This window comes from Homo sapiens, chromosome 5 (genome assembly GCF_000001405.40).
Source record: "Homo sapiens chromosome 5, GRCh38.p14 Primary Assembly".
Taxonomy (NCBI): domain Eukaryota; kingdom Metazoa; phylum Chordata; class Mammalia; order Primates; family Hominidae; genus Homo; species Homo sapiens.
Genome location: NC_000005.10, coordinates 11,217,229 through 11,234,487, shown reverse-complemented (window position 1 = coordinate 11,234,487; position 17,259 = coordinate 11,217,229). Strand labels below are relative to the sequence as shown.

Below are 17,259 nucleotides of genomic sequence, written 5' to 3'. Positions count from 1 at the left end.
CCTGCTTACCAGCTCAGTCACCTTGAACTACCTGATTATCCTGGGGCCTCTTTTCTAATCTTTAAAATGAAGATACTGATACCTTCTCTGTAGAATCTTTGCAAGAATTAAATGACTTAACATATACAAACTGCTTAGTAGCGAAATGTGCATTCATCCACCTTCTTTTTGGCCAGGAACGGTTAAGACACTAAAGTTATTGTTTTATTTTATGTATATTTCTAAGTGTCAGTGTGTATATATGTGTCTCTGTGTGTACATGTGTCTGTGTGTGTGCCTGTGTCTCTGTGTGCATATGTGTGTGTGTCTGTCTCTGCGTGTGTGTACATATGTGTGCTTCTGTTTATTTTTTAATTTTGCTGTGGGTGCCATCAAGGTTGCCTGTATCACTTCTCACTGTTTGGGGTGGCCCCCAGCAGCTGGCACTCCTAGCAGCAGTTCATGTTATTGATGGCAGCCCTCCATGCTACCTTCTAAAGGCTGCAAACACTTCCAGGCCCCATGATAATGTTCCCAGGGGACCTGGGAGGCTGGGATGAGAAGGAAGGGAAGGGTGGTATATGACTGAGTGCGCACCCTGATCCTGAGTTGACAAAATGAGATTGAAGTTAGTAAGTGTTAGCCAAAGGAACATGGGAAGTGCAAAAGGCTTAAATAAAACACAGAGGAAGCTTCCAGAGTTTCCCTTTCTTTCTCCCATTCAGTCACATAGGGAGGCGTGCATATGTGCATATACACATACACACACACACACACACACACACACACACAGACACGTAAACTCTAATAAGGATTCTACACAGATCTATTTTGTTCTCTCATCCTCACTCCAAGATCAAACTGTTAGTAATTGGTTCTACCTTTGTGACAGATGGCTGCCTGTCGTGTTTTCATACACAGACATTGAATTTTGTAATTACCTGTTGTCCAAATACTAATTTTGCAGGCACTAGCCTTTCCAAATTTACTCAGTCCTCTAGTCTTTCTACTGCATTTTATTGAACTGATTTAGCCCTTCAGTCTACATTTCATCATTCATATTGACTTTGCTCACACAATGGGTAGGCCATTGAACGAAGGGCAGAACTACATCTTCTATATGCAGAGGGTCATAAATCATGCCTTTCTTGTTCCTTATTCCTGTGATTTGTACGGTTTTCATATAATAAAGCCAAGAACATCAATTTTTTTTCAAAATGATACCAGATCTTATATGTGCAATTTTGAGAATTTGCTTCCGTAAGTCAGCAGATAAAATCCTCATCCCTGGCTTTTCCTGCTGCTCTAGTGAACTTGGATTTAAGACCATCTCCTCAGTTCCCCTCTGTATTAGTCCATTCTCATGCTGCTATGAAGAAATACCCAAGACTGAGCAGTTTATAAAGAAGAGAGGTTTAATGGACTCACGGTTCTGCATGGCTGGGGAGGCCTCAGGAAACTTATAATCATGGCAGAAGGTACCTCTTCAGGTACCTTCTACAAAAGAGAGATTGAGTACAAGCAGGGGAAATGCCAGACACTTATAAAACCATCAGATCTTGTGAGAACTCACTCACTATCATGAGAACAGCAGTAGGGGGAACCGCCCACATGATCCAATTACCTCCACCTGGTCCTACCCTTGACATCTGGGGATTATTACAATTCAAAATGAGATTTGGGTGGGGACACAGAGCCAAACGATATCATTCCATGCCTGGTCCCTCCCAAGTCTCATGTCCTGACATTTTAAAACGCAATCATGCTTTCCCAACAATCCCCAAAGTCTTAACTCATTTCAGCATTAACCCAAAAGTCCAAGTCCAAAGTCTCATCTGAGACAAGGCAAGTCTCTTCTACCTATAAGCCTGTAAAATCAAACACAAGTTAGTTCCTTCCAAGATACAATGGGGTACAGGCATTGGGTAAATACATCTTTTCCAAGTGGGAGAAATTGGCCAAAACAAGGGGGCTACAGGCCCCATGCAAGCTCGAAATCCAATAGGGCAATCATTAATCCTTAAAGTTCCAAAATGATCTCCTTTGACTTCATGTCTCACTCGCAGGTCACGCTGATGCAAGAGATGGGCTCCCATGGCCTTGAGCAGCTCTGCCCTATGGCTTTGCAGGGTACAGCCCCACTCCCAGCTGCTTTCACAGTCTGATGTTGAGTGTCTGCAGCTTTTCCAGGCACATGGTGCAAGCTGTCAGTGGATCTACCATTCTGGGTCCTGGAGGATGGTGACCCTCTTCTCACAGCTCCACTAGGCAGTGCCCCAGTGGGGACTCTGTGTGGGGGCTCCAACCCCTTGTTTCTCTTCCTCACTGCACTAGCAGAGGTTCTCTATGAGGGCTCCACCCCTGCAACAAACCTCTGCCTGGACATTCAGGGTGTTTCCACACATCCTGTGAAATCTAGGCAGAGGTTCTCAAACCTCAATTCTTGACTTTTGTGCACCCACGGACTCAACACAACATGGAAGCCACCAAGGCTTGGGGCTCACACCCTCTGAAGCAATGGCCTGAGCTGTACCTTGGCCCCTATTAGCCATGGCTGGAGCCAAAGCATCTGGGACGCAGGGCACCATGTCCTGAGGCTGCACAGAGCAGAGAGGCCCTGGGCCAAGCCCACAAAACCATTTTTCCCTCCCACAGGCCTCCATGCCTGTGAAGGGAGGGGATACCCTGAAGGTCTATGACATGCCCTGGAGACATTTTTCCCATTGTCTTGGTGATTAACGTTCATTTGGCTTCTTGTTACTTATGCAAATTTCTGCAGCAAGCTTGAATTTATCCCCGGAAAATGAGTTTTCCTTTTCTATCACATTATCGGGCCTCAAATTTTTCAAACTTTTATGCTTTGCTTCCTCTTGGATGGTTTGTGGCCTAGAAATTTCTTCTGCCACATAACCTAAATCATCTCTCTCAGTTTCAAAGCTCCACAGATCTCTAGAGCAGGAGCAAAATGCTGCCAGTCTCTTTTCTAAAGCATAGCAAGAGTCATCTTTGCTCCAGTTCCCAAGAAGTTCCGCATATCTATCTGAGACCACCTCAGCCTGGACTTCCTTGTCCATATCACTATCAGCATTTTGGTCAAAGCCATTCAACAAGTCTCTAGGAACTTCCAAACTTTTGTACTTCTATATATCTTCTTCTGAGCCCTCCAAACTGTTCCAACCTCTGCCCATTACCTAGTTTCAAAGACGCTTCCATGTTTTCAAGTCTGTTTACAACAACAGCCCACTCCTGGTACCAATCTACTCAAGACTGGGTTATTTATTAAAAAAAGAGGTTTAATGGACTCACAGGACTGGAGATGCCTCAGAAAACTTACAATCATGGCAGAAGGCACCTTTTCACGGGGGCAGGAGAAAGAATGTATTCAAGCAGGGGAAATGTCAGATGCTCAGATCTCGTGAGACTCACTCATTATCACGAGAACACCATGGAGGAAACCACCCCCATGGTCTGATTACCTTCACCTGGTCCTGCCCTTGACACATGGGGATTTTTACAATTCAAAGTGAGATTTGGGTGGGGACACAGAACCAAACCATATCACCCTCCCAGCAGTGAGGTGAACTGAGGAGGGAGGGCTGGGTGGGATCTAGCTCAGCAATCTCCAGTGACTAAGGCAGAGTTTGAATTCCACTGAGTTCTCTGATCCAGGGTAGGACATTAGCTTTAAATACTTTGTAGATCAGCAAGTTTTTAAAAACTGAGATAGAAGTGTAGTCACATAGGCAGTAGTCAGAGCCAGACTGAGATAAGATCAGAAGAAAAGCAGTCAAGGAAAAATTAAAGAGGATGGGAGAAGGAGAAGGAATAAAGTGAGGGTTCAGGTGATTGCTGCAAACACAGTAAGTTAGTGTGGTCCGTATTCATGGGTGAATGAATATCTGAGATGGAGGTGGATCCTCCCACTTTAAAGGGCGCAGGCATGATTAGTGTGGATGGATGGCAGTGCTCCTTGAACTGTGTCTGTCATCTACACTGTCTCCTAGATTGTTGGGAAAGTCACCATAAATTAAGCCTTTAGACAGAGGAATTATTAAACATGGACACTTCCTCAGGTGTATGGACTATAAGCATCTTTTAGGAGGTGACTAAATGTTGCTAACTTTTGCGGATTTTTTTTTTAATTATACTTTAAGTTTTAGGGTACATGTGCACATTGTACAGGTTAGTTACATATGTATACATGTGCCATGCTGGTGCGCTGCACCCACTAACTCGTCATCTAGCATTAGGTATATCTCCCAATGCTATCCCTCCCCCCTCCCCCCTCCCCACCACAGTCCCCAGAGTGTGATATTCCCCTTCCTGTGTCCATGTGATCTCATTGTTCAATTCCCACCTATGAGTGAGAATATGTGGTGTTTGGTTTTTTGTTCTTGCGATAGTTTACTGAGAATGATGGTTTCCAATTTCATCCATGTCCCTTTTGCGGATTTTTAATGAATCCTTTCTTCATTCTTTTGGAAACTCACCTCAGCTAAGAATATTATGAGTATCCCATTGATTTGGGGATACTAAGTGCATTTCATGGGTAGTGAGGATTGCAGTTTATTTATGTTCCTCCTGCCTGTACTTTCCCCCATTTCTTCCAATGCACACACCAGAGTTGGCATGCAGGTGGCACCCCCTTTCATATACAGACAGTTATACAAAAAGAGGAGTATATATATGTATATATATGTGTGTATGTACACAGTTATACAAAAAGAGTTATACATGAAAGCAGTTATACAGTATATATATGTATATATGTGTGTATATATACACAGTTGTATATATATGTATATATATGTGTATATATACACAGTTATATATATACACACACACACACACACACACACACACGCAATATGGCTGCATTCAAGGTAATATGTATCTTAGTGGTTTAAAAGTGTTTGCACATTTTCAAGTGGCATATAGGGATTATTTTTAAATGTTTAAATATTTCTATTGATTTATTTATTTTTAGAGACAAGGCCTGTTTCTGTCACCCAGGCTGGAGTGCAGTGGTGTGCAATCATAGCGTGCTGTAGCCTTGAACTCCTGGGCACAAGTGGTCCTCAGCCTTAACCTCTCAAGTAGCTGGGATTATAGGTGTGCACCACCATGCCCAGCTAAATATTTTATTTTGTTATAAGTTAATAAATCAATTAACTTTTTAAAACTTTAAGTTAATCTAACAAAAATTATAAATGTTCAAATAATTGGAAAATGTATTTTCTTTTAAACATAGACCATCCCTATTAACATGCCTCATTTTTAAACATGCCTTATTTCAAAAATTCAAACTTTATTATGTGACTTTATATGTGAGAAGGATTGACTTGTACTCCTTTCTTTTTGATAGAAATGTCCGGTGACCAGCACTGATAAAGATGTAATTTAAGGTTTCGACCTGATTACTTTTTGTTATATCAAAAAGTAGCTTCAGCTGTCTTATATATGAAGTGTTTACAGATCTTATATAGTAAACTTACACAGGCCCAAGGTAAGAATTCTTGCTCTAGGAAATCAATATTGATTTTATTTTTTTAACTCCTAACAATCTTTCCAATTACCTTATCATCCTAACTGCTATAAAACATTTTTGTTTTTAAAGAAATGAAATTTTCAGTCCTAGTGGAAAGCAAAAGAGTGTACTGATAGCTTGCTTTGTGTTAGTGGGAGGGTCCAAATATCAATAGCATATAGATCCTGTCTTTAAGGAATCTGGCCGGGTGTGGTGGCTCATGCCTGTAATCCTAGCACTTTTGGAGGCTGAGGTGGGAGGATTGCTTAAGCTCAGGAGACCGGCATCAGCAACATAGCCAGACCCTGTCTCTACAAAAAATGCAAAAATTAGCTGGGCATGGTGGTGCCCCACTGTAGTCCCTGCTACTTGGCAGGCTGAGGCAGGAGGATCTCTTGAGCCTGGGAGGACGAGGCTGTAGTAAGTGGAGATCATGCCACTGCACTCCAGCCTGGGTGACAGAGTAAGACTCTGTCTCAAAAAAAAAAAAAAATCCATAACCTGCAGGACAGAAAATAAGTAAACAGGACATTCTAATAGCATGTGTTAGGCATGATGGAGAGGTGAAGCCACAGCAGTAAAATGAGCATTCACATTCTTTGTTTTTTTTTTTTTTTTTTTTTTTTTTGAGAGAGAGAGAGACAGAGTCTCCTCTGTTGCCTAGGCTGGAGTGCAGTGGCACGATATTGGCTCACTGCAACCTCTGCCCCCTGGGTACAAGTGATTCTCCTGCCTCAGCCTCCCAAGCAGCTAGAATTACAGGCATTCACCACCACGCCTGGCTAAAAATTTTTGTATTTTTAGTAGAGACGGGTTTTCACCATGTTGGCCAGGCTGGTCATGAACCCCTGACCTCAGGAGATCCACCAGCCTTGCCCTCCCAAAGAGCTGGGATTACAGGCATGAACCATCACGCCCAGCCAACAGGGCATTCTAATACCATGTGTTAGGCATGATGAAGAGATGAAGCCACAGCTGGCGAGAGTCCAGCTTACATCCCAGCCTTGTGGAGTCAGGGAAAACAGCCTGCTTCCTACACTGATGGCCATGCTAAGTCTTAAATTAGAAGTTGCCAGAAAAATATAACCTAAGGCATACCCACTTAGAACTCATGGAAGACAGCTCATATTTGCAGTTGTCTGTTTGTGTGTCTGTGTGTCTAGACTAGATAGTTGCAATATACTTATATCATTTATAATAATATTTTGGCTAAATTCAGATTACCTTTAAGTATGGAACATAGAAATTGATTTCTGTGCATAAAATATGCATACCTTTCCCCTCCCCCATAACTTTTTATTCCAACAAATTTAGAACATTTCATCTGTTAAAAAAATTGAGACTGGTTCCTGTCTACTAGACTTAAAGTGCTTCATAATTTCTACTTTATTCTTAGTTCTTTCTACCTCATATAGTTCGAGGGAATGTGCTATTCATCTTTTCAGTCAACTACCTTTGAATCATTTCTTCTCTTTCTTTCATCATAAATTGTTTCACATTTTTGGAAAAGAGCCTGTATTTCTTTGATTAAATATCAGTAGAGAGGATACCACTGAGCTTATAGCAACGGCTTTGGAGCCAGGCTGCCTGCATTTGAACCCTGGCTGCTGTACTACTTTCTAGCTCCATGACCTTGAGCAAGTTTCTTTACCTCTCTGAGACTCAGTCTCCCAGACTATGAAACTGCGTTGAGACTCCATATCATGGCAGAGAGAACACAGGTAGACTGCCAGCACAGAGCAGGTGGCAAAGGAGTATGAGTTATTTTTAGCATGTGCTGCAAAATAAATAAGGAAATCTCTTTCCAACAGTTAAATGTAAAACCAATTCCATAGTTTTATAGACAGAATACTTGTATTGTTCATCATCCACGTTTTGAGATCTGCTATTGTCAGCAAAGGAAATTGAACACACACACACGGTGTGTGGCTCTGTGCTAAGCCACTGTTTACACAACTAGATTCAACTACTGCCCTTTAGGAAGTTAGAATCAAAAAGCCATCTGCACATACCAACATAAAGCAACATATAGACCCAAGTACTTGATATATTGATATGTGAAAGTGGAACTAATTCATATTCAACAGATAATCACTGAGCAGCTATAAAGTTGCAGGCTCTGTTTTTGACCTCAATAATCCAGCAGTGAACAAAATAGACCCCCATGAGTAGGGGGAAGCAACAATAAACACATACAGGCTGATATTGTTTGGCCATGTCCCCATACAAATCTCGAATTGTAGTTCCCATAATTCCCACATGTCATGGGAGGGACCCAGTGGGAGGTAATTGAATCATGAGGATAGGTCTTTCTTGTGCTGTTCTTGTGATAGTAAATAAGTCTCATAAGATTTGATGGTTTTATAAAGGGGAGTTTCCCTGAACAAATTCTCTCTTTGTTGGACGCCATGTAAGATGTCCCTTTGCTCTTTCTTCATCTTCCGCCATGATTGTGAGGCCTCCCCAGTCATGTGGAACTGTGAGTCAATTAAACCTCTTTCCTTTATAAATTATCTAGTCTCGAGTGTGTCTTTATCAGACATGTGAAAAAGGACTAATACACAGGCATACATTCATCATGGGTGAGATGGTGATGTGGGCTATGGAGGAAATACAACACAGTAAAGCGGGTGGACAGCAATAAGGAGTGGGTGAAGAGAGGCAGCTGCCATTCTGTAGAAAATGGTCAGGAAAGCCATCTCTGAGAAGTAGCCTCGGAGCAGAGCTTGAAGGCAGTCAGAGAGAGTACCTCAGAGCTAGATCTCTAAGGCATGTGCTCATTTGTGCTTGCTTCCAAGGGCTGTGGGAACCAAGTGCCACAAACTGAGAGATGTGGAACAATGGAAATCTGTTCTCTCACGATGCTGGAGGCTACAAGTCCAAGATTGAGAAGGGGCAGGGCCATGGTCACTCTGAAACTCAGGGTGGAATCCTTCCTTGCCTCTGCCTGGCTTCTGCTGGTGGCCGCCAGTACTCAGCATTCTTTGGCTTTATCTCTAATCTCTGCCTCTGTCTTCACATGGCCATCTCCTCTAGGCGTGTTTCTTTCTGTATCTCTTCTCCTCTTCTTATAAGGGCTTATGTTGTACTGGATTAGGACCTAGCCTATCTTAACTTGATTACATCTATGTAGACCCTATTTCCAAACAAGGTCACGTTTGTAGGTCCCAGGTACTAGGGTTTCAATATATCTTTTGTGGGGGACGATATTCAACCTATAACAAGGAGTAACAAAGAGTGTGGCTGGAACCTAGCAAGTGAGGTGGCGAGGGGTAGGAGGTGAGATCAGACAGGTAATATCCCAGGGTTGGATCACATAAACCACGTAGGCCAGTGCCTTATTATTAATATCAGAGGAGAAGGAGCTGGGAGTGCTTTTTGGCAGGGTGGTTTGGAAAGAAATACATCTTAAGAAACAGTGCTTCACCAGGTTGTGGAATCTATGAAATGGTCAAAGGAGGGGTAGCTGGTGATATAAAAGAAGAGGAAGAGAATCTCTGAAGAAGATGGGAAATGGGTAAATTCACTGGGTAGTGTCAACCAAGAACAGGTGAAAGACCAAACTGCAGTTCAAGAAGACAAGGTGGTGTTTATAGGGGTCTTAATGTTAGGAATTATAATTCAGGAAACAATTTGGCTTCTGAAGAGACAGAGGGGAGTAGAGGATTTTAAGAGAAAACCAAAAGGAAGCTCAGAGTGATTACACAAGTTGTTTTGGAGAATTATCATTGGTAGAGGTGGCTGACTTAGAACATGCGTCCATAGTTTACTGGTGGTCGCTGTTCAGGGGTTGCAATACTGGAGAAATTCAGCTGTTTTCCAGAATGTGGTGGTCACTGCAGTTTGACCCACTTCAAAGGTCAAGACAAGTTCCTGGTTTTTTTTGTTGTTGCTGTTGCCAGTTAGCAAGACACACAGGCAGTCTTTCTCACAATGACTTTCTGACTCCAATTTAGAGCTCTGAACCACAGAGACACCATTTCATATATCACACTTCACAGCAGGAAGATGTAAAAGAAGCCAAAAAGGGCTGCCCAGTAACCTACAGTAGCCTCTTGTAATAATCCAAAAATGACTGAGAAAGTATGATAAAAACAAAGAAAGTGTCATAAAAACAAAGTGACTTATTGGATCTGAAGGAGATGTGAATGATTTATGATAGGACATGTAATCCATAATTAGGAAGTAAACCAGAAAGACTCAGAAATAAGAGAATGTTAGTAAGTGGGAGAAACTGGAGGGGCATTTGACTAAGAACCTTCCAGAACAGCACTGTGGAAGAGTCCAGGAGCCACAAGGCAAGATGAAGCTCTCCTGTGAGGTTGGCCACCAGGATACTAGCGGTCATGCACACAGCCTGCAGGAAACAGCTGGGTGACATGTGACAAGTTAGGTCAGCACAAAGAAAAAGAAGGAAGGCAGTGACTTTAACAAACAGAGCTATAATTCCTATTTCAAAAAGATATGGAATCTTGTCATGTTTAAATACAGCCAGGGAAGGAGGAAGAAGAGAGCAAGGAATGTGCTGAGGGTCAGTGTACCAGGCCTCGGTGGAGGGGTTTGCTCTGTGGAGAAGTTAAAGCTTCTCAGGGTCTACAACCTTTGTGAACACAAGAGAGATGTGATATGTGATCCACAGTGAGCACTATTGCAGCCAGAGGCCAATATATTTTTCCATTTTCATGAAGGCTTGGTCCTTCACACATGAAGGATGATGGACGAGGCACACTCAGGAATTATTGGGCCAGTGCTTTGAGTGGAAAGGACCATGAGTCATCCTCAGTGGAGGAGATAATAAGAAGGCAATATTGCTAACAGCCTGGGACAGAATTACAACTAAAGAGGACAAATACCGCTGCGTGGAGGTATAGATCAACTTGGAGGGTAAGGCAGAATCATGGACTCAGAATACAGGGGGAAAAGCCGAGTAAGAAGGACTCCAGAGACACCAAACCATGGTGATTCAGTCGTGTTTTTACTTACCAATAGATGGGACAGATGAGAAGCAGGGGATCCCAGGCCAGGTGGGCCACTGCTACTAGCTGCCATATGCATCTATTTTTTGCACATTGTATACCTCTCTACCCTCCTATCTCCACTGCCTGCTCCTTTTAACTCTCCTTTCTCCTCCTTTTCCTCCTAAACCTAAGCTGATTCTAGCATCCTGTAGCCATCAAGAGGCTTGTCTTGGCCTTGGAGATTTTCCCTGCAGGCTAAAGAGATTTTAGGGCTCCTCCAACAAAGGCCTCTCCTCCCAAATGTCAGGGACGCATCAGATGTCAGCGTGACAGTTCTGTGTGAGGTGCCAAATGAGCACCTCTCCTGGCTCTAGAGGTCACTGAGTAGAGACTTCAGTAGATATGGCTCCCCCAGGACCAAGTTCAAGGGCCCAGCTCTTGATAGAAGAGCTAATCTCTCTAGGGGCAGTAGAGACCTCACTGGTTTGATGATCTTTTCCATTTAGAAGTTTAACAGGAGAACTAGGAGAGGAAAGGAAGCTACACTGGGGGAAGATGGGGCCTAAGGATGGGAATAGCCCTTAAAGTTTGTAGGAGGCAGCAAGAAAGGAAAACTGGCATCTTCTTCCCCAACTGGCTGTCAACTCAGCTTCTGAGCTGGTGACTTGCCTTGGGCTGCTGGAGTACAGTGGGGAGATCACACAGGGATTCAGCCAGACTTTGAGCAAGGACTGTATTCCTTTATGCTTAAAGGTCCCTTCAAGGAAGATGGACAAGGGCAGGGTCACAGGGGAGAGAAGAGACTAGTGATGGAGGGATTTAGACGTGTTCCTGCAGGAGCATGGCAGAAGGGGTGAAGCAAGGTGTAGGCATCAAAGATGTAGGGCCAAAGATGCAAAGATATGGGGTGGCAGAGAGCTTCAGCCACCTAACTGGCCCCTGCTAAAGCCCAGGAGTCACCTTGGCAGAGATGGCCCACAGACATAGGCAGTGGCCTGGTGGCCTCTAGCCTGCCTTTATGTAAGGAAACACCTCTTCCTTCTCCCTCCCACCTCCAATGAGAAAGGAGAAAGAACAGGATGGAAGGAGATGGGTGGGAAGGGCACACCAGGGGGCTGGAGCTCACGTCCAGCCTGCTTCAGGAGGTGGGATGTTGGAGATGGGGAGGGGGAAAGGATGGAAGTGGTAAAATGGACAGGCTTATTCCTTTTTATTTTTTTGAGACAGGGTCTCACTATCTCCCAGGCTGGAGTGCAGTGGTGTGATCAGGGTTCACTGCAGCCTTGACCTCCTGAACTCAAGAAATCCTCCTGCTTTGGCCATCCAAGGAGCTGGGACTACAGACAATGGCCACCATGCCATACTAATTTTTTTATTTTTTGTAGAGACAGGGTCTCCCTATGTTACCCAGGATGATCTTGAACTCCCAGACTCAAGTGATCCTCCAGCCTTTGCCTCCCAAAGTGCTGAGAATACAGGCGTGAGCCAACACACCCCACAAGGCTTTTTCTTTATAACCAGAAGGAGACCATTTTAATAGCCCAAAGTGAATGAAGTTAAGGAATCAGACCAATATTGTGATGAAATGTAGCTACCCTGCAGCGAGGCAAGACTCCTGATTAAAACCACCAGGTACACAAAGTTCTCTTTGCAAAACAGACGTGAGTCAGACAGCAGTCTCTGAAACTGGGTCATGACTTGCGAACAATGATGCAGCAGGTATTTTTCAGATCTCTTTGAAGTTTCCTTTCTGGGTTTGCTAAATATCACTTTGGGTTATTTTAACTCCATTTCTTCTTTGGGCCATGCTTCCCTTCTATTTTAATGGGTCTTCTTTTTATCTTCCCCCCGCCTCTCCACCCACCCACAAAAGGTTTGTAGTCTTTGCAATGGTGAGCAGAAGAAACAGATGACCTGTGTGAATGTCAGTCCATTCGCATTTGCATCACAGGTGAAGGAGCCGGCACTCACTGAGGGATTTCTCACTGTGCTTTGCCGTTTTGATGCATTTCTGATATGTCATCGTTTAGAGAAGAAGACCTGTACCTGAAGAACTAGTTGCTTTTTCAGGGACATAGTTTAACTTTATATCCACCATAAACTTCTTCATCTGGCATTCTGGTCATTTCTTTTGCTTTAGTCTGTAGGGGAAGTGGCAGCAAAACCTTGGCCTTTCTCCTCCTGGTGACACTTGGCTTCTTATTGCTACCGACTCAGCACGCTCAGGCCTTGTTTCCAAGTAAAAATCTCTAAATCGTTGAACCAAGGAAGACACACCTTGTTTATCTGTCATTTTCTTGATTTTTCCCTTCCAGACGTTCTCCAGGTTTTTCTGGCTCACAGAACTGGAGAGAACATTTTGTGAAAATACTGAGAGAAACAATACAAGAAGGCTTCGTATCATGTGATGTCCATGCATAGATTATAAGGCGCCGTCATCTCCTAAGATTTCATTGCAGTTATGAGCTTTCCTATGTTTTTGCAATCTCTGTTTCATTAATCCACCCTATGCAAATGATCTTAGACTTACTGCTTTTGAGCCTCTGATCACTCTTCCAACCTTATCTTCCAAGTTTATTGTTCCAGTTCATTCTAAATCTAAAGATTTAGACCTCCTCAACCTGGTGGAACTACAAATGCATAATAACCCTGCTCTGTGGGCACCTACATGTGCCATCTTGGAAATAGTTAACACAATGGAGGGGAAGAGCCTCCCTGACTTGAACAGGTGCCCCAGTTGGCTGACTTTAAATGTATGCAAATTTCTGGCTTGACCATGTTTCAGTCATTTCGTATCAGACGCTGATTGGAAGAGCTGTGTCTTCCTATTAGATGCACTTCAGCATTACAAATATTTTTTAAATGTTTCAAGAAAAGCTATAGGTGCTCATTATATGACTACTCTAGTTTGTTAGCCCTAGTGCACTTTTTAACCATGCTCCAAACATAAGAAAAAAAAATCTGCTTTGCTAAGAGCTCTTCAAAATTCACATTGCTCTTCTGTACTTACAATCCTTCTTAATTAATTTGCCTCTTGCATGACAAGTAGAACACTGAGTTGGCATTAACTCTTTTGTTATTTGCATTTAATTGTACTTATGGGATGATTTCTGTGTTTCCTGTGGATCTATACAGGCTCTCTTCAACTTCCAAAGATTGTTTGAAAGAATCTTGCAATTGAAATGTATGTCCCCTGGAAACGGTGTGATATATTAGGAGATTAGGCCCACACAAGCTTTGTTAAGCCAAAACGTCTCTGAACTGTAGCAGTGGGTGAATAATACTGGCATATCCAATCTCTAAGTATTTATGGAGACGGGCAAAGAGCGTTCCAGTAGCATGCCTGGGACTCATCCCAGCACACCCTCGCATAGAAGGGTATGTTCGCTGCACAGTTTCCTTTCAAGCTTTGGAATGGAAGTGGGGATTATCGTTGCTACTGACCCCAGGTGATCAAATCTGTTGTCTGGGCAGGGGTCCAGGGAAAATGGAGACAAATGAAAAGGAGCACAGAGACAATGACAGTGCCATTGTTAGGAGGGCTGGGTGAGCTTTGGAACCCCAAGTATGGACCGAATGAAGGAGATGTGAGGAGTAGAAGCTCCTGTCTGCATTTCCCTTAAATCCCAGGGGATCTTCTCAGACTTCACCGACTGCCTGGCACTCCCTTCATTTAATTTTGCTTAACCTAACTAATATTTTTTCTGTTGCCACCATCTATGGGGCTTTTAAGCCAGTTTCCTTCTTTCCTCTTCACTGGGGAATGAGACACAACCTCCCAGCTGTTCTTTATTCTTTTCTATGTAATGCAAACACACTCTAAATTTTTTTTTTTATGGATTTTTACCATCTTCACAGGTGATGGAGAAGCATACCAGGAGTTAAATGTTTCCCTCCTATATGTCCCTCTTCTGTTTTTCTCTCATGTTGTGAAGACACTAATAATAATATCGTTTACAAATGATAAAATAGTGACATGGACAGTTGAGCAGAACGCTTCCCTTCAGTTGTCTTACAGAGCTCCCCTTTCAAGATGGAGCTGTTTGGCAATGATTGGTGAGTGGAGTTGGGGAGGTGGAGTGAGAAGTAGGCCCCCTATTCACAGGCTAGAACAACTCTACCCTATTCTAAGAGATACTGAAATTGGACCACAGAAGAAAGAACTCTGTCAACAGAGATCTAAAATTTCAGAGCTGAATAATTTCCAAAGTTCTTTTCCTGGGCCAAAGTCATGGTGTCCTGAGGGGAGATTCTGATCCTTTGACTTTTTCAGCTTCTGAAGGCTGGCTGCATTCCTTAGCTTGTGGTCTCTTCCTTCGTCTTCAGATTTCATCATTCTGACCTCTGACTCTAACATCACATCCCCTCTCTCTGCTTTCTTCTTATAAGGACTCTTGTGATGACACTGGGACCATCCAGATAATCCAGAACAAATGTCCCATCTCAAGTTTCTTAATCACAGCAGCAAAGTCCCTTTTGCTATGTAAGGTCATATATTCACAGGGATTAAGGCCTGGACATCTTCAGGGAGGAGAATTACTCAGCCTATCATAGAAGTACTTGTCCACTGATAAGTAAAACCTAAATACCTTGGAAGAAAAAAGAAATAAAAACTGATGTTCTTCTCTCCTCTGTAAGATTCTAGGAAATTTAGAGTATTTATGCTTAAGTTAGCTGATTTGAAAAATTCCCTGCTGGAGTTTCAGGAAGGGAGGAAACATGGTGATCTTGAAGAAAGATTTTAACTCCATTTGATTCTTGTGATGGTGGGAGGATTAATAGTTGAAGTGGGTGAGGAGGACCAGCCAGGTGACCCCCACTGCATGGGGATGGCTGGTCTACTCTTCCACCACTTCTAGCGAGAGATCTGGGACCACATGCTGAGGCTACTTTTATGGCCATTGGTTGGGAAACCACATTTTACACTGAGCTTGATCAGTGTAATTATACCTGGCCATCATACTAAAGAACTGGAGGCTGCTCAGAGAGAGAAAGGAATGGTGGCTGTTTAAAATGAAAGGTCTCATCTCATATCCAGCCACACCCTATGTGCAGGCCAGGGTGAGCTTCCACATGAGGGGACAGCTGTGGTGAAAATGGTGGGTATACCTGTTGTAATTGTGCACATTGACTGAGTGCCTCTCTGCCAGAAAGACCCAGCAATCCCCAAACGAAAACAAGATGGATTTTCTGGGAAGGGACTGGTGACATCTGTATTAACTAAGGATGTCACAGAGGCTGGTCTCCTGGCTCGCAACACCTCTCTATACAGATGGCTTATTGGACCAAAGCAGTCAGCTTTTCTGGGTTGACTTTATAGATTATTAAGGTCTAAATAAAGTGGTGCTCCATGTGGCTTTGACAGTATTCAACGTAGTTCAAGCTAAAAAGGAAGCTTGGTAGGCACCAGGGGCTTACAGTACTGTCATCCATATGAAAAATGCCTTTTTTTTCAATCCTAGTTTCTGAGAAAAAGCCAATCTCAATTTGCCTTTATTTGAGAGAACACACACAATCTATTTTAACAGTTTTCACACAAAGATATGCTCATTCCCTTACCCATGGCCCAAAACTTTTATGTAGGGATCCAGACTTACTAATGATAAAAGATACTCTGATATGCAACTTTACTGGTATAATGATTATCGGGCTTACAAATGAGAAGACTGTCAGAGTTGGCACCAGCATGACTCCGATGACAAGATGATGCTGGCTTGTCAATTCTGGAGAATTATGAGGATGACTCAACGGGGAAAATTTGAAGAATCAGGGATATTTGTCAACTGACGAAAAAATATTTCCCTGATGCTACCCTGAAATGAGTAAGAAATATAACACTTGGTACAACTCCTTGGATCCTGAAGAAATCCTATCTTATATTCAGGGATATTGTTAAGTCCCATTAGAAAAAAAAGAGAAAAAAGAAAAAAGACAGATGAAGAGGAAAAGGAAGGAAGGAGGAAGAAGGGAAGGAGGAAGGAGGAAGAAGGGAGGGAGGAAGGGAGGAAAGAAGGAAGAAATGAAGGGAGGGAGGGAGGGATTTATTTTTTAAGGTGGTCCCAAACAACAAGAAGCTCTCAAGGTCTTCAGTGGATAATAATATGAGCCGCAACCTTGGATGCCTAAGATCCACAAACTGCTTTACCCAAATAGCAACAAACACCCAAAGAGATTGGAGTTCATGGCAAAAGCTAGTAGGGGCAACAGAAAGACAACCTTAAGCTTTTGAACATACTGACCACCAGAGTCCACCATTAAATACTTACCTTTTGAAAAGTGATTAGTGGCTTGCTCTTAGGCACTGGTAGAGAATGCTTGCATCCCTAGGAGACATTTCGGCCTGAAATTCCTGTTAGACCCTGGAAAATTTCAAATACAGACATAAAAAGGGTCTGCCTTGAAAACTCTCTAATTAAATGTAAGGATTTCCTTAATAAATTCCTATGTTATGCCAGAGATGTCCACTAAATGCATGAGCAGGAAGCCTCAGAATTCAGGTCTCTCTGCATCCTTTCTGATGCTTCATTCTTTTCCACAATGAAATCATAGGCACTGCCTATGACTCTTTATCAGAACAAGGCCAGTGATAAATATTAACAGGAGTTGCAGACAAGAGCACAAGATGATGGAGAACACTTTTGAAAAGCCACCTCCTTCCTCCCTGGTTTGTGGGAAAGTTAATGTTAACAGGACAAAAAGCAAAACCAAAATACCAGAGCACATCTTCCCAGTTGACCAGGCTGTATTCTCTTGAATGACTCATCTGAAAAGATGCTAGTTATAATGAACGATTTC

General features: G+C 42.9%; 1 protein-coding gene across 12 annotated transcripts in view, besides 1 other annotated feature; it reads left to right on the top strand.

The window, feature by feature from the left end:
* Window positions 1-17,259, top strand: part of CTNND2 (catenin delta 2) — a 932,611-nt gene that overhangs the window by 669,959 nt on the left and 245,393 nt on the right. The window lies entirely within an intron of this gene.
* Window positions 5,402-5,571: an enhancer, noted in NCBI's record as "experimental_80752 CRE fragment used in MPRA reporter constructs". NCBI's record gives its function as "activates a minimal promoter by MPRAs in K562 erythroleukemia cells, with activity observed for the non-introgressed 5:11229114 variant allele {active_cell/tissue: K562}" and the evidence as "EXISTENCE:reporter gene assay evidence [ECO:0000049][PMID:34662402]".